The sequence below is a fragment of the Homo sapiens genome, chromosome 10 (assembly GCF_000001405.40).
Source record: "Homo sapiens chromosome 10, GRCh38.p14 Primary Assembly".
Taxonomy (NCBI): domain Eukaryota; kingdom Metazoa; phylum Chordata; class Mammalia; order Primates; family Hominidae; genus Homo; species Homo sapiens.
In genome coordinates this window covers 113094208-113118315 of record NC_000010.11, presented here as the reverse complement: position 1 = coordinate 113118315, position 24108 = coordinate 113094208, and the positions used below count along the sequence as shown (strand labels likewise).

Here is a 24108-nt window from a genome sequence, read left to right as displayed (position 1 = left end):
CACCTCAAGACAGACATATAAGCCTCGTCCAAATAGTCCAAGCCAGAGACAAAACCATTATTCATCTGCCCAATGTGCTTCACCTAATTATCACCCATTTGCTTTTAATTGACTTTTTCTCTCCAAAATCAAACAAATAAATAATAAAAAACATCAAGGGTTCTCCCCTGGCCAGAAAATTAAAACACCACCAGTAAATTCTCGACCCCGTCTGCTGGGCTGAGCCCAGCGAGTCCTGGAAATGGTTGGAAATGGACCGAAAAACACAGCACCAAAAAAAACTTGGTTTTTGCAGTCTTAAGAGAAAAGCTTATATTTATTTTATTATTTATTTATGGGGGCGGGGGGTGGGGGCGAGCAAGCTAATGTGCCCGCTTTGTGTGCCGTATCACAGCTCCCAGGGAGGGAGGCGACGCAACTTCGGTGCCTGCCCCAGACAACCGCCTCGGACTTGTGGCGGAGCAGAAACAGCAGCTACACCCCGGTAAACAGATTGCATTCCTGCGGCCCATTGATTTTTTGATCTTTTGACATTTTTTAGTTGCTTCCATTCCCTTCCTTGTCTTTTCTTCAATGTCACAAAAGACAAAAAATGTCTAAACAATTGAGGGCAGAGATATCTATTAGCTGTCAGACCGCCGTTTCCCGGCATTGACTAAGCGCGCACCACAAAGAATGCCGAGAACTGGTAAGATGACAAATTATATCATTCTTTTTTTCCTTAAATAGGGATAATCATATTCCAATACCTTGCCTTCTCCTAGCCAACCAAAACGTGCTGTGAGAGAAGGGAAAGAAATCTCATTGTATCCTGTTCTGTAATTTCTATTACGTTAGCTATATTTGTTGGGGGGAGAAGAGAGAGAGAGAGAGAGAGAGAGGGAGAGAGAGAGAGAGAGAGAGAGAGAGAGAGAGAGAGAGAGAGAGAGAGAGAGAGAGAGAGAGAGAGAAAATCCCTTCAAGGAAGGTAGCAACATATTTCAGGTTGTAGCATCTAGGAGAAGCAAAGCATATCTTCCTGATTATTTTCCCCAAAGAACTGCTTCCATAGTGCGAGTACCACATTAATAAAAGAAACAATTTGTTATACTTAGGGATGAAAGACTGTTAGAGAATGAACTGATGTCCCCTAAGTTATTTGTTTCCCCCTGAAGACAAGCAAAGGCGTTCTTTCAAAGCAGTTAAATCGTAGATTTGATGTACAGCCAACCTCAACTTTCTAAAACCTAAAATCTGAAACTTATCATTCCCATTAAATAATGCCCCGACAGGAATGTTTTAAATATTGTTTCAAATGGGTTCTCTCTGCTTGTGATTTGACTGCAATGAACATGTTGTACATCTATGATTTCAGTGTTAAAATTCAAACCACACTCATACTGCGTTTTCCTTCAAAACCAATAATCAACAATTTATGGACAAGAAAGCTAAAATGGATCAACTTTACACTTGCATTTGAGAAGATTAATGATTTTCTTTCAAGAAAGCAGTGTGTTAGGAACATTAGCTTTCAACATTTATTTTTGTATGTAATAAAAAATATTAAAATGTATGATTTAAAATCTATTTACCTAGATTATCTATGGATCTATTTTATAAGGAAAGACTATTTAACCCTTTTTAAAAAATAGGCCCAAATGTGTAGGATGCACTTGGGGCGGGCGGGGGGGAAGCAGCAAAAAAAGAAATGTTTCAATTTACAGTAACTACCTTGTAATCTTATAAACAACGATTTCACAAATAAGCAAAGGATCCCCAGGCTTAATCTGTACTTTCATTTCTATTTTATTTACATAGACTCCTACTTGATATTTAACATATAATGTTTATTTTTCTGTTTTCAAATATGCTTTTAACAGAGACTACATATTTTAAGATACTGGCAATGTTTGCACTATTACACTACAAGGGAAAATATTAATTAGGTCTAATTTAGATTATAAGTGATAAAATATAACTAATTCAAATTCAGAGGGAACAAAGTCCTATTGTGCTTTTAGGAATTGTATGCAATAACACCACAATACTTGAGAGTATCAAATCTATGATTTTCAAACACAAGTTCAAACTGGCAAATATAAGAACATATTTATAACCTACAAAAGGGGAAGGGGAAGGGAAAAGAGGGAGAAAATGATAAATTTAATTTTTCATCAGATTATCATGATAAACTATACATAACCAATCCAGTTTTTCTGCTCCTAAGACAAACATTTCTGCATTGTTGTCAGCTACATACATCTACCTTTTCTTAGAAAGCCTACCATAGTCAAATAGGCTCATTCACACATTGAGTAAAATAGGATTGAAGTTCCTCAAATCATTCCATAATATTAGAAGACAGGTAAGGAGCTATATCGATACACATCTTCATATTGTTTGAGGTTTCTATTTTTAACTTTATGAAATCAAATATGACGTGACAGCAGCCTGTTTAAGGGGGAAGGGTGCTAAGGAATTAGAGGAGGCAAGCAGAGACACACGCACACACATTCACAAAACTGACCACAGGTTGTGGACGGGATGGTCGGTAGTTGTGGTTTTTAAAACCGCGCGCTGTCCTTGAAATGGAGGCCGCACACAGCTCCATTAGATACAGATCCAGTGCTCTTGATCTATTATTTACAAAGAAAAACCCTTCACTGCTTAAGTGCCCCTTCTACTTCAGCCTTCCATTTCAACAGCATCAAACAACTTGGTGGGGGGAAAAACACAAGACACAACAACTTGTGTTCATCACAACGTTCCGTGCAATTCAAAATTCTACTTGGATGGGAAAAAAAATTAGAATAACCTGAACACAGGATGTTGGCTAAATGACAAACAAATGAGAGGTTTGTCATTTTCTAACAAGCGATACAAGATTTGATCATCTTTCTGTAAGAGAAATTTCTATTTGAAAAGAAGGGAAAAAATTCAGGAAAACTCATTTTACCTCAAGGATGTGAAAAGAAATGTTTTCAAAATGTATATTTGGTATGAAATTCTTTAATTATCAAGTCTGCTCTTTAAGTCAAACTGCATTCGATCTAATTAGTAAGCTTAGATCTCACCTTCATGCTGAACTTTAAACTCTCTGAAGCCAATTAAAAACTATTTAAATGAATATTAAAAGGATTCCTGTGATCATTTCTGACATGACAGAAAACATGCTTTCCAGCAAAAAATAGGTTTACACAGCTTGCCTACATTTCACAAAACATTTGAGTTTTGCATTTAATCTGTGTATTACCCTTTTTCGATTCTGCCATCCAACGCTCTTCCTCAGCTGTTTTATCATCCCTGTTCAAGCATATCTGCTGCCAATACAGTTTTAACTGCAATTAGAACTGCTTTATTATTCAGTGCTCTTCAATTTTCAATAACTTAATTAAGATTTACTGGACGGTACCTATTTCCTACTTTCATTTCAATACGCTATTGAATTGGGCACACATGGAAATGTAGCAATAACAAGTTGGAATCTGGAAAAAAATTCTTAGCAATTTTCAATCTGATAAGCCAAAGCAAACTGAGACTACAGTAAAACACATACTCTTTCTCTCTCAGTCTAGGCCTTGAAATCGCTTTTTGAGAATTAATAAATTATTCTGTTTGCTTAGGAAATTAAGTGCTCCCGTGCAAAGCCATTACAATTAACACTACTAAATGTGTTAGGTTACACTAAAGAAATCCTCACAGTATAATTATATCAATGAGTCAGTTAACTCACATATATTAATTCAATTTATCTTCATTTTGAACCATGTGGACTGATAGATTGTCATCATTAGAAATGACAAAACTCCACGCTGGAGGAAAATACAGACCTGCTAATGCCCTGACTTCTCCTTAAGCCCACACACCATTGACTCCACTAAGGGCGCCTCCAAGATATCAAGGGATGTATTCTCTGCTAAGGACCAAAAAGTCAGAGCTTCTGATCGAGATGCAAAAAAATATCAGTTGGACTCTCCAGAACCTACAAACCGGTATCAATAAAGAAAATTCCAACACAGAAATCTCAGTGCTAATAAGTTCTTAAGACAAAGACCATTATATATTTAGTACTAAAGGAATATTCATCCAATATTCCTTGGGAAAATGCTACAAAATAAATGCCATTTTCCCCAACCATGCAACCTACTGATAAGCATTTCTGATTAAAAAGGAACTACAGTGCCAGAGCAAACATATTAACCAAGAGAGCTCAGCTGGGGATATTGTCAGTAAATAAGATGTTACCAGGCAAAGCAATTCCAGGATTGTTCACAGGGATTTCCTTCTGAAAACTCACAGGATTAGAGGGGGCCTTATTAAGATTTTAACAATCATGAGACTATGATTTGACCTGTAACAACTGATAGTCCAACGAAACCCATCATGATGGTCATCCTGGGTTTTGAAAAGTGGAATCACAGTGGGAAATTCAAGGCTAAGTGACTGGCTTTGCATTTGATTCTTAAAAGGCTGATTTTTATATTTAACATCTTAAAACATCTGACCCAAATATTCTTATTCCCCTCTCTCTTAAAAAAAGGTCCTTGGAAAACTAACATGGAAATCCTTGGGTTTATGATGCCCCAAACGTCATTATTTATCTCTAATGGGAAACAAATTAGATGGTGAGGAGCCCAGGAAAACTAATTTAATTTCTTTAAATGCTGCAGAAATAAGAGAAACCACACAGTTCTTTGGGGCTTGGAGAACTGGAAGCCATCAAGACTAACAAGGACAAAGGGTCACAAATTCTAAAGGGGGTGAACACTGTTCTAAGAAATGCCTCACATCTCCTTCTAGGTGAAGGTGCGAGCAACACAGAACCCCCCTTTCAAGAGAAGTCATCAACCTGGCCAGTGTGTCCAGCCCAGGCAGCTCATCCTATGAGGATGTCCTATGCCCTGTGATTCATGTCTAAATAGCCACTGACCAGTTTGTTAATCAAGCACTGGTGGGGAGGTGCGGGGGAAGAATTAAGTAAGGACATCAAGTTGCTTTGGTAAGTTATAAGTTGTTGATGTAGTCAAAATGACAATATTTCCAATTCACCTGCTTACGGGTGTTTGTGCTCTTATTAGCGATCGGGACTATTACTGGGCTGCTCCTGTACTGAAGTGCAGGGAGAGAGGCTGAAGAAACTGCAAGCTGTCAGGATTTCACCGACTTGACAAGGCAGACCGGGTTGGCCAGTGTTTGGGTTTTTGGTTATAGAACCCAAAAACTCCTGTCACTCATGAGGTCCCTAATTAACTACTGCTACTACATCAATATGACAAAAATAAGGGAATTTGCTTTTCAGATAACGGTGACTCTCTGCTACAACCAAGAGTTAATATTAACAAATGAATTGGAAGCAGAGGAGAAGAAGCCATTTTATAAACCGCAATGACAAATAGAAACCCACCAGAAAAGCATAATCAGGGAAAAGCCTTCTACCTTTTATTTTATTCTTTTTAAAAGGAGGAGGATCTGAATACACAGAAACACTGGCCAAACTCGCCTCCCATGATTGCCTCATAAGCTTAAAACACAATATTGCTTGCCTCTGGAGAAAGACAACATGCCTCCATAACATCAGAGAGAAGGTGACAGTACAGGACAGTACGATCCCATTCTGAAATTGCTTGGTTTTCATTAACAAATAAATGATGTTTTGGTGGACTTTGAACTTTTGCTGTTCACATGAAGTTTAGGAATGTTGGCAAGGAAAGGCACCCAAATCCAGTAAGTTGATTTAAACACTATTAAGTAAGCACGGGAAATTGCTGTGCCCTTTACAACACGTATGTGTTCTCAGAGAAATTAGGTGTGCACACACCCAAGCCCCAAGCTGCTACAGGGAATTATGAGACCAGGGGAGGAGATTTTAGGAAAGCAAGTCCTTCTGAGCCTTGCCAGTCGCTAGCCGGGTGGTGATTTCACCTCTGCCCCAAGATTGGTGCTGCATGCCAGGGAAGAGAAGTGTGCGTGTGCACGCATGTGTGCATGTGTGTGTGTGTGAACATGCCTGGCCCCTTCTGCTGACAGCACAGCCTCTACAGACAACACAGCCTCTACCTCTTTCCTAAGCTCCTTGTAAACATACCCAGAGGCTAACATACAATGGGCACATCCAGTGAATAATAAAGTAAAATTGAATTATGTCATGCCTCCACCATAGCAACGCCTATTGGCTCTCTCCTCTCTCCAGAAGAGCCCTGCCAATGTTCCTGCTGCCATGTGGAGCTGGGAGTATACTCCCATTAGGCACAGATGGAAAGCATGTCGCAATCACCTGCCCAAAGCAGACTGTGAAACTGGTTTCAAATGCAACCAGGCATCTTAGTACAGTCTGGACGGTGGTGTTATTTTTTTCAAAACCATCTTGTTTTTGTCTAGCATCTCCTCAAGGAAGTTTAGGCGTGACTATTTCTCATAATCTAAGTCTCACATGAAAACAGCCCCATTTTACAGACAGAAAAACAAACAAGCTCAGAGGATTTAGAAGAATTGATTTGAGATTAGCTGGTTAATAATTTTATTTATTTATTTATTTTATTTATTTAAAGAAAAGGTGTCACTCAGTTGCCCAGGCTGGAGTGCAGTGGCGTGATCACAGCTCATTACAGCCTCCACCTCCTGGACTCAGGTGATCCTCCCATCTCAGCCTCCCGAGTGGCTGAGGTGATGGGCACATGCCACCACGCCTGGCTAATTTTTGCATTTTCTGTAGAAATGAGGTTTCACCATGCTGCCCAGGCTGGTCTCAAACTCCTGGGCTCAAGTGATCCTCCTGCTTTGGCCTCTGAAAGGACTGAGATTACAGCCGTGAGCCACCGCACCCAGTTGGTTAGTAATTTCAGCAAATGAAAATGAGGAGGAGGAATTATTGCTGCTGTTTCCATAAACACAGTAGACTCTTCCTGGTATCCTTCCCTTAGGTGCACTTGGAGATTCATTCACTGATTCAATAAATACTGATTCAGTGCCTATTTCATGCCTGGCTCTGTTCTAGGCACTAGGGATAGATAGATATATCAGTGAATCAAAGTCCTGCCCTCAGGGAATTAATAATCTAGAGAGGGAGATAATTATTTACAACTGTCAAAAAGCTGACAGATACACCCCAGAGTACCTTGATGGTATAATTTCCTCAAAGTCAGTTAACCTCTAACAGAAACCAGTTCTATGACCATCCAGCCCAATGTTCAATTCACTTCAATTATTCTATGCCCCGGAAAATATAACTGAAAAGCTTGATTTATATGCTAGAGAAGAAGCACAAGTTTTTAATCACCACTTAGAAAAAAAAAAAAAAAGGAATCCCAAATGCTAAATTATGCTGTCAAATCATCTAAAGATGAACAGCTATTTGCACTGGAGGTCAGAGAACATTACAGACTTGGGGAATATGGTGTTAACAGTCAGATCCCCTTTTTTCATACCAATCTAAACTCAGAGCTGTTGGCTATTTTGTCTGACCCATACAATTGGCCAGATTAGTCTATGATTGGGACAGAAACATTACGGGCACTCAGGGATTGCTCATGAATACCAATTAATATTAATTTGGATTTCTTCTCTTTGACCCAGTACATAGCATAGGCTTTCTTGTACTTCCATACTTAATTTTAGGGCTTTATAAACTACAACAACTCAAACTACTGGCATGAACCCTTTTAACATTTTTAGCTCCTTTTCCAACTATAAATTAGGTAAAATATATAGATGTAGGGGTCAAAAGCCAGCAATTAGAATCGACATTGTCCTTCACTATAATTTTGGGGCAGCCAGGCTTGTGAGAAGAAGAGCTTCCTTTACCAAAGACATGTGTATACTACATGTTTATTGCTGTGTCTCACGTATAAATATATAGAACCAATTAAGGACTGGTTAAGTGCTGTTTGTTGCAGATATTTACATGTGAAAACACTGCTTCTGAAAAATCTTTTAGGAAAAAAATTCGTAAAAAAAAAAAAAAAAAAAAACCCCAGTAGACAATCTCAAACATTTCAAAGAAAATGTTAGAATTGGAAATTCTTTAAACAGTTTCTACAATTGACTTTTTTACAATTATTCAGACTGTGATGGCCTGATGAAAAAGTTATTAGAACCTAGTATAACAACTAAAAGTTCATTATTATCTACAAAGATAATATTTTTTAAAATGCATCTTTATTCAGGCATCAGGGAGGAAAAAAATTGATTTCTCTAACAGAAGAGCTTCCCAAATTCAGAGGAAGAAGTCAAGAATTATCATGCTTGTTTTAAACCAAAAATATAACTGACGTGTTTAACATTTTATAAACATGTTTCTTTAGAGGCTTCAACAGGTGTTTTCAAAATGTAAGCATAGCAAAGCTATTTTCTGTATGAAATGATGTTATAATCTTCAAACAAGTCACTTTTTAAAAGATCTATAAAATATTATACATTCTGATATAAGCCATGATTTAATTAGAATATTTAAGTTATCAAAGAGGCAGGTAAAACAGCAAAATGAACCATATGCACATTATGTTTCAAAAAACAACTGAGGCCATTGCATCTAAGCCTGTTGATTATAAAAGCTGTATGGGGCTTCACTTTCTAACTCTTGAACACCAGATGTCAGGATGCTTAACACATCCACCAGCCTTTCATAATATCTCACTTAAATCCCACACCCAGCCAGCACAGTGGCTCATGCCTGTAATCCCAGCAGTTTGGGAGGCTGGGGCAGGTGGTTGACCTGCGGTCAGGAGTTCGAGACCAGCCTAGCCAACGTGGAGAAACCCTGCTTCTACTAAAAACACAAAAATTAGCTGGGCGTGGTGGCAGGAGCCTGTAATCCCAGCTACTTGGGAGGCTGAGGCAAAAGAATTACTTGAACCCAGGAGGGGAGGTTGCTGTGAGCCTTGATTGCACCACTGCACTCCAGCCTGGGCGACAGAGCCAGAGCCTGTCCTGTCTCAAAAAAATAAATAAACAAATAAAAATTAAAAAATAAATCCCACACCCTTACTGGGACATTGATAGCACTATCCCTATTTTATAGATGGTAAAACTGAGACTCCAGGAATAAAATTGTTTCCCCAAGATAACACCGTAAGTGGCAGAATCAGGATTTGAGCTCAGGTCTTCTGACCCTAACTCCCTGCTCTTCCCAATCCCATGGCTAAATCCCCTTCAAGTCAACACTACATGGCAGGGGTTCATGATGGAAAATGCCAGTGCGGCAATTCTAAAGCTGGAAATACGCTCCTTTCTGATCAACACATTACGTTATGTGGCCCATGTGTGCACGCGCGTGTGTTTGTGTATACACACTGTCGGCAGGGATTGTAGTGGTTAAGGGGACAGTTGGCAGGTATGGTGGTACAATTAGTACAGATAAACCCTCAATAGCCTATCTGCCTTCTGATTTTTAAATAAACAAAGGCTGAATACTATAATTAAGATCAGAGTGCCTCTGAAAGACCATATGGCAAAACGAAAATTAAATGAAAAAGTCACCGGCAGGGAATGGGAGAATATGTTATTCCTAAAGTGGAAGAAGTGATTTTTGAACAAATGCTTTTTAACTCCGATGCCTGGAGGAAAACAGCAACCTCCCTGCAGAAATGACGGCCACGACCAGGGCAGGCAGTCCTGGGAAGAAATGGAGCGCCCTGGCCCTGCAGAGGCCGGAAAGGGAATACCACGTCCATACTGCAGGGGGCGCCCCGCGGTGCTGCCAGCCTAGGCTGACCTTGCCCAACCTCTCAGGCTAGGGGGTTCCTCAGGGATAATGCAAACCTAGAAAAGCAGTCAGTGCAGTGGTCGGCCACACTGATGCCTGGAGGTCCCTAGAGTCCTACTCCTTTTCTTAATACTGAGAAAACAATGGCATCTCTATGCCCACAATGGCTTCAGTGTGCACCCCTCCCCCCCACAATGGCCCCATTCAATCCCCCACCATGAGCGATTGCCCCAAGTTTAACGGCCTGTGTTAGGAGAGCACCGGACACAAAAGGAGGTGTTTCCAGGTTCAGTGAACACTTTACACCCATTCATCAGGGAAGGGACAAAAGCGATTCCCCACTTCACCTCAGGCGGAGCAGAGGCTGGGGGCTCTGTCATCCTCACCAAAATGCAACCTTTGCCTGGTGGGGTGGGGGGGTCCACATTGTGTTTAAGGATCACTGTGCAAACATGGTTCCTGATTATTCTACCTCCAGCTAAAAACATTTGCATAAAAACGGGATTCTTTTGTCCCCTAAGAAGAGCCAAGAGGAAGCTTGGTGGGGAAGTATGGGGGCAAAGGGGGCTGGAGGCTCTCAAAGGAAGACCAAGAAGGTCAGCCGACAGACCCTAAATTATACTTTGGAATCTTTATTAGGAAAATAGCCCACCTCTTTCCTTACATTCAGTTTTTACTAGGGTTCACTGCTATTTTTATTAAGGAACCTAATGTTTACTTTGTGTAATTGCTTTAATTACTAAGTGCCCCTGCCAGCAACGCTTGACCAATATAGGCTGCTTTAAGAAACACCATTATTTCACAGGACCCAAAAGCATTATTTCCCTAATTGCAAGTGATGTACCTTGATTTTTTTGTTGTTTTTTTTTTTTTTTTTTTTTTTTAGACGGAGTCTCGCTCGGTCGCCCAGGCTGGAGTGCACTGGTGCGATCTCGGCTCACTGCAAGCTCGCTGTAAGCTCCGCCTCCCGGGTTCACGCCATTCTCCTGCCTCAGCCTCCCAAGTAGCTGGGACTACAGGTACTCGCCACCACGCCCGGCTAATTTTTTGTATTTTTAGTGGAGACAGGGTTTCACTGTGTTAGCCAGGATGGTCTCGATTTCCTGACCTCGTGATCCACCCGCCTCGGCCTCCCAGAGTGCTGAGATTATAGGCATGAGCCACCACGCCCGGCCGCAACTTGATGTCTTGACCACAAATGTGTACATCAAGGCTTGGGTATCAGTCAACAGCCCCTGACTGTACTGGTTGGTCAGTAAGGCTTAACTTCTTTTGTGGGAGGGGAAGGGGGTGAGGGGAGGGACTACAGAGTTTATACAAAGTGCTAAGATTTGAAATAGCCCAAGTCATACCTCCCTCCTCAGAGAGCCACCCACCCACCCAGTACCCAGCCGAGCTGGATTAGTCATACTAAACATAGTCCATTCCCAACCAACCCTTCAAGCTTTGGCAGGCCAAGCTCTGCTGACATTCCAGGCCCAGTTTAACATTACATAATGAGAGTTTCACTCCCATGATGGGCTGCAAGTCAAAACAAACTTGCTGAACTCAACCCAGGGCACCGGCTTGTTTCCTGGTTACAGGACATGGGAGTGCTAAGGGCAGAAGACAGCTCTTCGCAAAAATTATAAAACCAGTGAACTCTTGCATCCATTCTGATCATGGTCAACTCAGTCAGGGTGGTCCTGAGTTCGAGAACTGGTGATCCACAACCTATATACTTTTCAAGTTTTCTCACATAGTGTTGGTGCCAAACTTGTTTTCAAAGGATCATTTTCATACATTTCTATGTTTGAGCTTTTAATGAAAGCCCAGAAAGCAACACTTTATAAAAAGATTCCCAAATACCAGTCCTCTGGGAAAGACTAGTTATTCATTCATCATTCAAAATACACACATAAATGGTAAGATCTGATTGTCTATGTATCGCTAAAGCACATTCACTGCTTGAAAAGTTTTCAGTGTTTTTTATGTATCAATTCCAGCTCACTGCTTTCTCGTTAACCTTTAGCAGAGATGATTATATTAATCCATCCTCATCACCATCACGAGCCTCCTGATCATCATATCAACACCCGGGGCATCCGAGAAAAATCAGGATTTCAAGTGGAAAATAAGTGAATTCATACTGAACACACTGAATTTCACACACTAATCCAGAAAGACCTTGAAATTAATGGCACTTAACAGGAATGGTTCACAAAATTAAACTCTCCCTTGAATCGGAGGTGGCCGAGGGGAAAGAGGAAAACCAAGAGATCTGGATTCTAGTCTTGATTCTCCCACTGTCTGGCTACACACGATTGCTTGATCTTACAGCAGTCTTCTTTCTCTGAGCCTCTGCTTCCTCACTGTTCAAGAGAGGATTTGAAGAGTGGTCAGGTTAGAGTTATCAGTCTGCTCTCACAATTCCAAGATTCTGTAACAGATTCTACAAACCCACCCACCCCAACCACAGTGAACACATTACTCTGGTTGGGGTCTGTTTGCATTAATATTCTCAGTGCACTCAGGTCCATTTCCCTGACCTGAGTTATTTTACTTTTCTTGTGTCAGAAGCCCAGGTTCAAGGGAGTACCTCAGAGCCCATTTGCACCTTACCTGTTAGGTAACATTCCACTTACTGCTATCTTCTTACTATCTCCTTACCCACAGGACAGTCCCAATTAATCTCCCTAAAGAATCTATTTTTTTGTTTTGTTTTGTTTTAATCCTGGAGACAACAAACTCTTCTTAATAAATCAGGATACTAATTACAAACATCAATTGCCAGAGCCCCAAGGGCCGTTTGCTCTATTCTAAACAGCTCCAGCTTATGGTGCTTTTAAGATTCTCTTGCTCTCTCCTCTTTCTAAACTGTAAGACCCTGGAATGCTCAGAGACTGTCGTCTGCCTGGAACCTGGACGGGATGCTTCTGGCAGACAGGATCTTCGTGATTCGAAGAAAGGCAGAGCAAAGACTTGATGTTGAATGAGCAAGAATTGGAAGTGTGGTGGGAAACCCCACTAGACAGGTGAGGTGCGGGGCACCTCCCTGGTCACCAGGCAGAACTAAAGAGTGAAAAAGGAGAGAAATGGGCCTGGGAGCATCTAGACTGCAGTCAGAACAATAGCCACGGTAACTCCCAGAACTTCGAAAGTGGACCTGCCCACCAAATGTCCCTGTGTTATGGCTTTCCTGGGCAGCCTCATTACCAAGACAATTCACATGAAGATGGAAGGGATCCAACCATGCAGGGAGTTCCAAATCCCAGAAGCTCTCAAGGTGATTTCTTCCCAGAGAGGAGCAGGCCTCAGAGCAAACTGGGACTCCCTAAGAGGCCCAATGGGAGCCGACTTCGACTCAAGCCGTTACTCCTGGCTAGACGGTACACTTCCTAAAGGCAACAACTCAGTCCTCTCACTCACACCCTTGTCCCCAACACCAGAACCCTGCCTGGCACAGAAGTCCTCAATAACATTTTACTAAATGGACTCAAGCTGTCCCAAAAGCTGGAGTCCCTGTCATGTCACTCTGGAAGTTAATGAGACCTATTGTGCAGGCTTTCCCATAATTTGTGTCCAGAAGCAGTAAAGAGAGACCTACATGTCTGTCCCACAAAGTCAAGTTAATGGCCTTTGCAACAGTTATTGTCACAATCTTCCCTTCTTTTCTGCTTCCTGCCAACATTGCAGGGAGGGAGACTATCAGCCAGCAATCTGATATTTGAATAAGCGGGGGCTGAGTTAACTGTGCCCTCCTTCACCCCATGACTTCGAGGAACTGTTTAAGCCTCATGTACCAAGCTAATGGGATGGTACTGTCTTGTCTGCCTTAGACCCTAGCCTGGGACCCAAGACCCCAGACAGCCAGAAGAGTAGAATTGTGTTCCTTGAGTGTCACCTGATGTTACAGCAGTGGGTACAGATCTTCAGGCTTTGTAAACATCCAGGTGTAGAGCTCAGTAATGCTGAGATATTTGAGATCAAATTAAATAAGTGGCTTACCATATGTATTTTAGGCCATCTGCAAGACCATTAGGACACTGTGTCCTTTGTCCTAGAATTGTAGAGTATGGTATATGACACTATGGTACCACCAAAAAAATCACAGGCTGCATTGCCCTGAAAAGGATAAATAAGAGGCTGGGAGACGGCGTTAGGGGTAAAATCTCACTTCTAAGACTTTTCCCCCAGTGCTTCTCAATGCCCCTCCCTGGTGTCCAGATGACATCTATTAAATTCAGGCACTGCTCCACAAGGGATCTTGGCCTCTGGCTATGAGAAGAATAGCATCAAAAAATTGCTTGCCAACAACCCATAAATTTAAACAAGTCAGGATGGCAAGAGGAGGCTGCCTGGGAATCATCACAGAGGAGAAGTCAAAAGCAGTGTGGTTTAAGTGGGACACATAGACAGACACCCCTCCAGCGTGATGTTCCTCCTTTAACAAAGGCAAATCCTTCAAGCTCCCACGAGGATTAGGAAATCATCTCTTTGCCCATGTGACCACTTACAGTCTTGAAACTATGGGGGAAGGATCGCCAATGAATAGCACATCTTACTGGACCAAAGGCACTGAACTCAGATCCTGGCCCATCCTAATTCTCAGGAGGGGGCTGGGAGTGAAGCGAACAACTTATATGCAAGGGCACCGATTTTATTCCCACAAAAGTGGGGGCGTAGCTTTGATAGTCAGAGCACAGTGCTAAGAAACCAAGAGTCCCAGCTACACTGACCCAGCTCCCTTGACCTGGAAAAAGGCCTGGCTTGCTCCTGCCTCAGTGACTCTGTCCATATAATGGAAACTGTCAAGCTGTGCTAAGGCTTGCTTCTCCTCCTAGTGTAGCCCACCATCATGGGGAGTGGAACACAGCAGCAAGGACCACACACTGTGCAAATATACACTTGATGCTCTCAGTACTCACACCCACTCGCACAAAAGACATACCATTAATAAGTACGAAAAAATGTGAGTTTCCTCCCAGAGCCATCTCACGCATTGTAACCCCTCCTATCACTGGCAACCACCATTCACATTTGATTCTCAATGCAGGCAAATGGGGGACTTGAAAAACACGAGGGTCCCAGCATCTGTACATCCAAAGCTCACCCTCCAAAGCAGACTTTCCTCTTTAAAGCCCCCTGTTAATCATTCTACCAAATGGCCTATTTTTTTTTCTTTCTTACTTCGCGGGATCCAAGCAATTTTTTACTGTGGGTGGTAACAATTGTAGAACTGTTTCTAATTATTTAAAAAACAAAACCACACACACAAAACAAAACAAAACAAAAATCTATGTTGCCAATTGCAGAGAGGCTCAGAAGCCACAACTTCCGGTAATAAAGATTTTTTCTCTGCAAGGATCAGAAGCCAGCATATCTGGACAGCATCTGTGTGCTCTGAGCTTCTCATACAGCTGGGCCCACTTCCACATTACAGGACAGAAGGTTGTCATTGATGGGGAGGTGGGCAGCCTCGTTTGGACAACATTTGAAGACCCAGCCTTCAAATCCCAGTCCTAACAATTACTTTCAGTGGAACCAAGGACAAATTATTAAAAAGAAAAAAAAAGTCTGCACCAGTTTCCTCTCTATAAAATGAGAAAAAATGGTTCCCACAAATTGAGCAGATTAAATGAGTTAATATATGAAAACCACTTAAGGCAGAGCCTGGTATACAGTAAGTGCTGAGTACATGTTAGCGACTAGCTTATTTATACATAAACTTTAAATAATATTGGTTTTTCTCTTCTGTGGCAGCTGTAAGGGTGAAACAATAATACTTATGAAAAGCTTAATCCAGTGCCAGAAGGATAGTGGATTTTTAATACATGATGCATAGTATTAACATTAAAGCCTATCCCACTCCCACTAAGAAGAGGGTTCAGGTTTCTTTCCTCCCAAATCAAAGAAGTGAATTAAAAAATACAGATATGGCCAGGTGCTCATGCCTGTAATCCCAGTACTTAGAGGGGCCGAGGAAGACAGATCACCTGAGGTCGGGAGTTCAAGACCACCCTGGCCAACACGGTGAAACCCCATCTCTACTAAAAATACAAAAAATTAGCTGGGCATGATGGTGGGCACGTGTAATCCTAGCTACTCGGGAGGCTGAGGCAGGAGAATCACTTGAACCCAGGAGGTGGAGGTTGCAGTGAGCAGAGATTGCACCAATGCACTCCAGCCTCGGCGACAGAGCGAGACTCTGTCTCAAAAAAAAAAAAAAACAAACAAACAACAACAACAAAAAACAGATGTTTGCCAGTTTCCATGTATGTCACTTGCCTTATATACTGTAATTCATTCAAATCTACTAATAAGTAAAGATAGGCAAAATAATGTCCTGGTTTTATGATGTGAAAACTTAGGCATAAACAGTGAGTTGCACATGGTCATTCAGCTGGTCAGAGGCAAAGCCAAGGTTTGAGCTCAGAGTACAGAGCACACGCTCCTAACCATCCCATTAAACAGACGTCCTAGACACTGAGTACCAAAACCACATTCTTTCTCACTTTTTTTTTTTTTTTTTTTTTTTTTTTTTTTGATGGAGTCACGCTCTGTCACCCAGGCTGGAGTGCAGTGGTGCAATCTTGGCTCACTGCAACCTCCGCCTCCTGCCTCCCGAGTAGCTGGGACTACAGGCGTACACCACCACGCCCGGCTAATTTTTTGTATTTTAGTAGAGATGGGGTTTCACTATGTTGCCCAGGCTGGTCTCAAACTCCTGAGCTCAGGCAATCCACCCGCCTTGGCCTCCCAAAGTGCTGGGATTATAGGCATGAGCCACCACACCTCTCTTTTTTTTTTTTTTTGAGACGGAGTCTCGCTCTGTCGCCCAGGCTGGAGTGCAGTGGCACAATCTCGGCTCACTGCAAGCTCCCCGTCCTGGGTTCACGCCATTCTCCTGCCTCAGCCTCCCAAGTAGCTGGGACTACAGGCGGCCGCCACCATGCCCAGCTAATTTTTTGTATTTTTTAGTAGAGACAGAGTTTCACTGTGTTAGCCAGGATGATCTCGATCTCCTGACCTTGTGATCCGCCCACCTCAACCTCCCAAAGTGCTGGGATTACAGGCGTGAGCCACCGCGCCCAGCCCCTCTCTTCTTTTTTTAAGAGGCAAGGTTTCGTTCTGCCACCCAAGCTGGAGTGCAGTGGCTCAATTAGAGCTCACTGCAGCCTCGAACTCCTAGACTCAAGAAATTCTCTTGCCTCGGCCTCCCAAGTAGCTGGGACTACAGGTATGCACCACCATGCCTGGATAACTTTTTAATTTTTTGTAGAGATGGGGTCTTGCTATGTTGCCCAAGCTGGTCTCAAACTCCTGCCTTCAAGCGATCCTTGAGGCCTCCCAAAGCCCTGACAATATAGGCCTGAACAACTGTGCCCAGCTATCTTATGAGATAAGATATATCCTCCTCAAAAGGCTTGCAGGAATTATGACTTTATCATTAAATCTGAAAGAGGGAATAACAAAATGCTCCTTTTTATAGGGAGGAAACCAATCCATTGAGTAGAACGTCCTATTAAACACTGAGAAGGATAAGATACACATTGAAGAAGGATGGATTTTTTCCCCCCTTGAGACGGAGTTTCGCTCTTGTCACTCAGCCTGGAGTGCAATGGCGCGATCTCAGCTCACCACAACCTCCTCCTCCCTGGTTCAAGCAATTCTCCTGCCTCAGCCTCCCGAGTAGCTGGGATTACAGGCAAACGCCACCACGCCTGCCTAATTTTATATTTTTAGTGGAAATGAGGTTTCTCCATGTTGGTCAGGCTGGTCTCGAACTCCCGACCTCAGGTGATCCACCTGCGTCAGCCTCCCAAAATGCTGGGATTACAGGCGTGAGCCACCACGCCCAGCCGAAGGATGGAATTTCTTTTTGCTAACTTGAACCTCAATTTCAACTAAAGTGCCCTATTCCACACAACATGAAAAAAGAATCCCGTATACTCCTCCACCTTCCCTTTCCACCTGATTTGTTAATCATGCCCAGAGGGTCGCAATAAGTTTAACTGAAGACAGTCATTTTGGTTCATGGAATTCTAAGCCCATAAATTTTCAGCGGGGAGGATGAGAGAATCTTCCACTGTGTTTTTCTAAAGCAAGTATTTAGTGCTTTCATCTTTTAGTGCCCTAACATGCAATCTGTCACCCAAATAAGAAAAAAAAAAAATACACCTTCTCACGTGGGTGTTTGCAGAAGTGACATCATGTTTCCGACGTCAATCAAATGGCAAACACATTCAGAGCAGAGCTGATCATTCTGCCTTCTGCCTTCTAAAGGCAGATTCGAGAGAATTAAGACCCCACAGTGACACTTGCTGTACTTGTGGAAAGAATGCCACCACCCGCTTTCTAAAGTACCCTATCATTTCAGTGGGGATGCTGAAAAGCAACTTGTTTCCTGGCTACTTCGTTCTTCTTCTGCTAGGTACCCGTGCTCTCGGGATGCTTTGTTTATAGTGTGTGGTTGTTAAAAATGAAAGCCATTCTTCTCCCACCTGGAAGACATTCCTCTACAGAAACCTGTTGCCAGACAATGGGAGTTTCTTATCAGTAAAAGTCCTTCCTCTCAGCTAAGTCACGGATGACCTGACTCTATCACGCTTGCTGAGAATTCCTCCAGCCTGCTAAGAGAGAGGTAGAGGGAGTGGGAACTTGGGACAGAAAAGCTGGGGTACTTGCGTGGAGGGCAGTTATAATGTTTTTGCTTTTTCCTGATCCTGAAGTGATTTTAGATGCTGTAAAGCCAGGAGAGCTACAACTGTGTTCTGGATGCCACCTCCCCGCCCCTCCCCTCCTCTCCAATTTCTGCTTTCTGCCCAGGGTCACTGCTCCCACTTCTCAATTGGCTGCGATGGCAAGTCTCCAAGTAATTACAAAGACAGGAATTGGATTACACAAGAATTTACATGTGTGCGATGGCTGTTACCTTCCCCAGCAAAACGCACGGCAGAAGCATCATCTACTGTTCACTCGAGTGTGACACTGAGCTGGGAGCTCGGGGGTCACCTCTCATCATTTCCCAGGGGGAGGACAAGCACACACAGAAGATCCCCACCACACACATAGCCCTACATTGTACTTTTCCCTAAGAAAGCATAAGCTCTGAACAACAGCCAGGAAGACGGCAGCTCTGGTCTTCCCGTGCATGTAGCAGCTTGTTCCAGAGCCTGGGTGGGGATGCACTGAGGGCTGGTGCAGGCGGCTTGGATGCTCTCCTCTTGCCATTCCTGGTTTCATCTAAGTCGTGGGGCAGGTGAGGACAGCCTGGGGGGACCAAGTTGGGTCAATAAAATCTACAGACATACCATCTTCATTTTAAACATTATGCCCAAATCTTAAAAATCTGTCCTGACATCTGAGAAAGACTAAAATAAATAATTCAAAGCAGAATACTCCAAAAGCCGTTTTCACTCTGAGGCCTATATGGTTAGCAATAACATATTTCCCTGGCTATTTTTTTCTTTGGCCACTGTTGGAATTAGCTTGAATTCTCATAAATCCACAAAGGGTTCCAGAGCATGCTAGGTGTACAGGCAAGGACAGCCCACAATGAAGAATAGAAAATCCAACCAAGACTTGCCAATAACTAACAAGCTGACAACTATGGCACTGCAGTTACATCTCTTTCACTGGAGAGGGCTGGAGAAACAGCAGAGCAGAGCCCCTGACAATCAACAGTGAAAAATTGGCCCTGGAATGGATGAAGTGAATCAAGTCGGCACTATCTATCAAATGGAGAAAATAATAAAAATAAAACCCACATCTCCAGTGACTACACAAAGGCAGCAACAGGACATGTACAGGGCGATGGAGCTGTTCTGTGTCCTACGTGGTGGCAATAATACGAATTTATATTACAATTCGTAGAACAGGAGACCAAAAGAAAAAGTCAATGATCATAATATATTTTAAAATACATTTTTTTTGTTTTTTGTTTTGTTTTGAGACAGAGTCTCACTTTGTTGCCCAGGCTGGAGTGCAGTGGCGCGATCTCAGCTCACTGCAACCACTGCCTCCCAGGTTCAAGCGATTCTCCTGCCTCAGCCTCCTGAGTAGCTGGGACTACAGGCTCCCGCCACCATGCCTGGCTAATTTTTGTATTTTTAGTAGAGACGGGGGTTTCACCACATTGGCCAGGATGGTCTCGAACTCCTGACCTTGTGATCCATCTGCCTCGGCCTCCCAAAGTGCTGGGATTACAGGCGTGAGCCACCGAGCCCGGCCTAAAATACAATTTTTTAAATAAAAATCCCACGTCTCACACTTGACCCTCATACGTTAAATCAGGGCACAGAATTGCATGCCATTGAGTGTAGATTTGAAAAACAGCTGCAAGTGACCTGACCAAGGAAGATCCCAGTGCGGAAAGCCCCAACGGAGACCTGGATCTTGTAGATTTTGCTGTCCCAAACAGGAAAGGTCCAAGAAGAAACAAACATCCCCAACATATCATTACATCACAAGGGTCAGGAGCCTGTGCCAGACACTGCTGCCCCTACCAAGGAAATGGGGAAGAAGGGCAGGGAAAGGACCTACCTTCCCTTCAGGTACGACATGTGTTTCTTCTTCTTCTTCTTTTTTTTTTTTTTTTTTTTTTTTGAGACAGAGTCTCACTCTGTCACCCAGGCTGGAGTGTAGTGGCATTATCTTGGCTCACTGCAACCTCCACCTCCCAGGTTCAAGCGATTCTCCTGCCTCAGCCTCCCGAGTAGCTGGAATTACAAGCGCACTACCACGCCTGGCTAATTTTTCTGTTTTTAGCAAAGACAGGGTTTCACCATGTTGGCCAGGCTGGTCTCTGACTCCTGACCTCAGGCGATCCGCCTGCCTCAGCCTCCCAAAGTGCTAGGATTACAGGTGTGAGCCACTGCGTCTGGCCATGACCTGTGTTTCTGAAGCCAGTAAAAGATGCCATAAGAAATCCCTCCAGGGTACACCTTTCCCTCTCACCTCCATATATCTTTCTCATGGTTGTTTTTTTTTTTTTTTTTTTTTTTTTTTTCCGAGACAAGAGTCTTACTCTGTCACCCTGCAGTGGTGCAGTCTTGGCTCACTGCAACTTCCACCTCCCAGGTTCAGGTGATTCTTCTGCCTCGGCCTCCCGAGGAGCTGGGATTACAGGTGCCTGCCACCATGTCTGGCTAATTTTTGTATTTTCAGTAGAGATGGGGTTTTACCATGTTGGCCAGGCTGGTCTCGAACTCCTGACCTCAGGTGATTCACCCGCCTTGGCTTCCCAAAGTGCTGGGATTATAGGCGTGAGCCACCGTGCCCGGCCTCCTCATGGGTTCTTCTACAACTGGCAAGAGGAAAGAAATTTGTCCTGAGAGAGAGTTGTGACAACCTACACACAGGACTTCCCCCTGGTTGGTTACAAGCTGCTCCTACTTTCTAGTGGAGCTCATTTCTCAGGAACAAGTGGACTTCTCATCTGTCACCCTGGCCCCTGGCGAACCACAAGGCTTACCACAAATATTGCCACAAACCTAGCAGGCAGGAGCTGGGATGAGCACTACGTGACAGAGTGTGCAGGACCCCTCCCAACCTGCCCTGTGTGTAGATCACAGGCAAGCTACTGTCATCTCCCCCAACTCTGTTTTTCTAAACAGCAAGAGGCTACCACTAGGACAGGGATGGTGACGCGGGGCTCAGGCTAAGCTTGTCTGACCCAGTGACCGGTGGGGTAGGAGCAGAAGCCGAGCAGGGGGGTCCCATGTCCTGCAGTCAGTCACTACATGCCTCCTCACGTCCCCCTCTTATTTCTTCTTTCTCTGGTGTCTTCGTTGCTTTCCCATCCCCACCCTCCCCTCTGGAGGGAGCTGGCTTTTCCAAAACAGAAACTTTCACTCTGAGCACAAACAGGCCTCTAATTTAGATCTTCCCAGCCAAGAGCTTTTCTCCCTGCTGCACTGGCCTCTGAAGCTGGCTGTAAGTGTGCTGTGACATGGCCAGAATCTAAAAGGGTGTGGCTGCTCCTCTTTCATTTTTGGCCCCCACAGAAGAGGCCAGACATTGACCAGGAAAAGCAAATCTGGCCTCCTATGGCGCTTCCACCAAACTAAAAAAAAAAGAAACTACTGATTTTTCTTAATGCAAACCGGTTTGAAATGGCCTTTCAGAGACGTGACAGAGAACACTGGATGGGTGTGAAGTAAAAGGTGAAAGATGATGGTGCTCCTGACTAAACCAGCAGCAGCTGATGCAATAAATACCTTTCCAATAAGGTCCATAGGACAGGCCTTATAAGGAAGAATAAGAACTCAGATCTGCTATTAGCTGCTTGCCTAATAATCACTGCCCTTAATAAAAATGAGTAAATTAAGTTCCAGAGTCTGGGCTGAAATATGGTTCCTCTCCATTTCCAAATTCCAAACATCTACCTTGCTGACGTCATAAAAGGGATTGCTATCTGAGAAACAGGTACGTCAACAGAGACGCTGACTGATAGGCAGATAAGTCAAAACCACCCCTGCAGCGTCTACCCCTCTCCCTAAGTGCTAACTGCATATTCTCATATGGGAAACCCTATATGGAATACAAAGTCTTAAGGCTAATTTATACTCTCCCTTGACGCAGACTAGCCCATTAAAAACTGACCTGTCACCTCACAGCATTACAAAAGGGGAGGAGCCAAAACAATCAACTGTGGGGATGACATGTCACACACCAAAGGCCCAAATCTTCTCTACGAGTGACCTTTGTCACACGAGACACAAAGAAAATACGTGACTCACGACGAAAGGGGAAAAGGGAGGTAGCCACTAACGTGGAGAGACATGGGCACAGCTTGCAGCACCCTGGGGGGTGTCAAGTGGGCTCACTGAGGCTAGGATGCAGGGTGCAGGAACACTCCTATCTTCTGCATGGATGAGCTCCTTGGAAGACCTCCACAGAGAGTGCCTGGGCTTCCTGCTTAGTATACAAAATGAAAAGGATAGCGTTTACAATGACATCTCTTTGCAGTCCAAGGAATGGTGAACAATGAGGGAAATGGGGCCAGAAATGATCCCGGCTTCTCCGCGTCTGTTTTCCTGGTAGCAAGCTCTGCATCTGATAAGTAGAGTGGGACTACGTCATGTTCCCTCTACACTGGGAATATGACCTCACTGAGGCATTAAAAATTCCCAGGGAGGCACTGCAGTGCCCACTGATGCTACCACGGCGGTTGATCAGCAGAGAAAATTTGTCCGCTCATTTAGCCTAAAAGACTTCAACAAAAAAATATTGGCAGATAGACAATGTGGGAAAGGAAAAAATAAAAATAATCTGGCAGTCCCACCTCCCATCCTACCCAGTGAGCATGAACTGGGGTAGAGAGGGGGTGAGGAGGAGTTGAATTTGCCGGCCCACTCACACAGAACAATCCGGGGCTATACATGCGAAGCAATGATGGGTCACATACATCAAGGGGGCATTATGGAATGTCCCAGAATCACTCTCTCTTCACTATTTGCAACTTCCACCCTCTGCCACATGAGATGCAGTTGCACTATTTATAGTGGAACTTTGTTTTTTGGTTTTTTGTTTTTTGTTTTTATTTTTTGAGATGGAGTCTTGCTCTGTCACCCAGGCTGGAATGCAAAGGTGCAATCTCAGCTTACTGCAATCTCTGCCTCCCAGGTTCAAGCGATTCTCCTGTCTCAGCCTCCCGAGTAGCTGGGACCACGTACCCAGCTAATTTTTGTATTTTTTAGTAGAGACAGTGTTTTGCCATGTTGGCCAGGCTGGTCTCAAACTCCTGGCCTCAAGTGATCCACCTGCCTCAGCCTCTCAAAGTGTTGGGATTTCAGGCATGAGCCACAGTGCCCGGCCAACAGCGGAACTTTGGAAACAGTCTGAGTTCATTGGGGCAATAGCTAAGCATATTAAGGGACAGGAGGGATAATCATTAGTACTTTCACAGTTTTTGTGGCATATATAGGAAAGTGTTTCTAGTATAGAGAGATGTAAAATAAACAGAAAACAAGTGCATGTATAGTATGATCCCACCTACGATTTTTAAATCACATTTTTTAAAAGACTGAGAGGAAGTATTTCAAAATATTCACTTTGTCTTGGAGGGGTATTTCTTTGGTTGTCTCATCTGCTTCTTTATATAATCAGGGGTAGGAGATAAATGAAAATGTTTAGTTAGCCGAATGCTTGCTAATCCAAAGTTATAATGTAGAGAGTTCTAAATTAGCAAATACTTCCCTTCTAGTGCACTTCATTGTGTAAACCCAAATTTTCCATACATACCACGTACTGAAAAATACAGTACCCAGGAAATGAAGCAATATCTATATTTGTTTCAAATGACTAACAAGCAAAAATAAAACTTTGACCGTGATGACATGCTTTTTAGAAATCAGACATAAAATAAGCCACATAGGATGTGGTCTAATAAACCCAAGAAAAGTTTCATTTCCTCTCACCAAAATGGCTAACTCCCTGTTTATGTG

At 43.3% G+C, this 24108-nt stretch overlaps 1 protein-coding gene across 15 annotated transcripts in view, besides 1 other annotated feature; it reads right to left on the bottom strand.

Annotated features, from left to right (window-relative positions):
* Window positions 1-24108, bottom strand: part of TCF7L2 (transcription factor 7 like 2) — a 217432-nt gene that overhangs the window by 49363 nt on the left and 143961 nt on the right. The window lies entirely within an intron of this gene.
* Window positions 17435-17601: a silencer, noted in NCBI's record as "fragment chr10:114860474-114860640 (GRCh37/hg19 assembly coordinates)". NCBI's record gives its function as "represses an EF-1alpha promoter that drives an FKBP-Casp9 reporter gene in an ReSE screen in HepG2 liver carcinoma cells {active_cell/tissue: HepG2}" and the evidence as "EXISTENCE:reporter gene assay evidence [ECO:0000049][PMID:32094911]".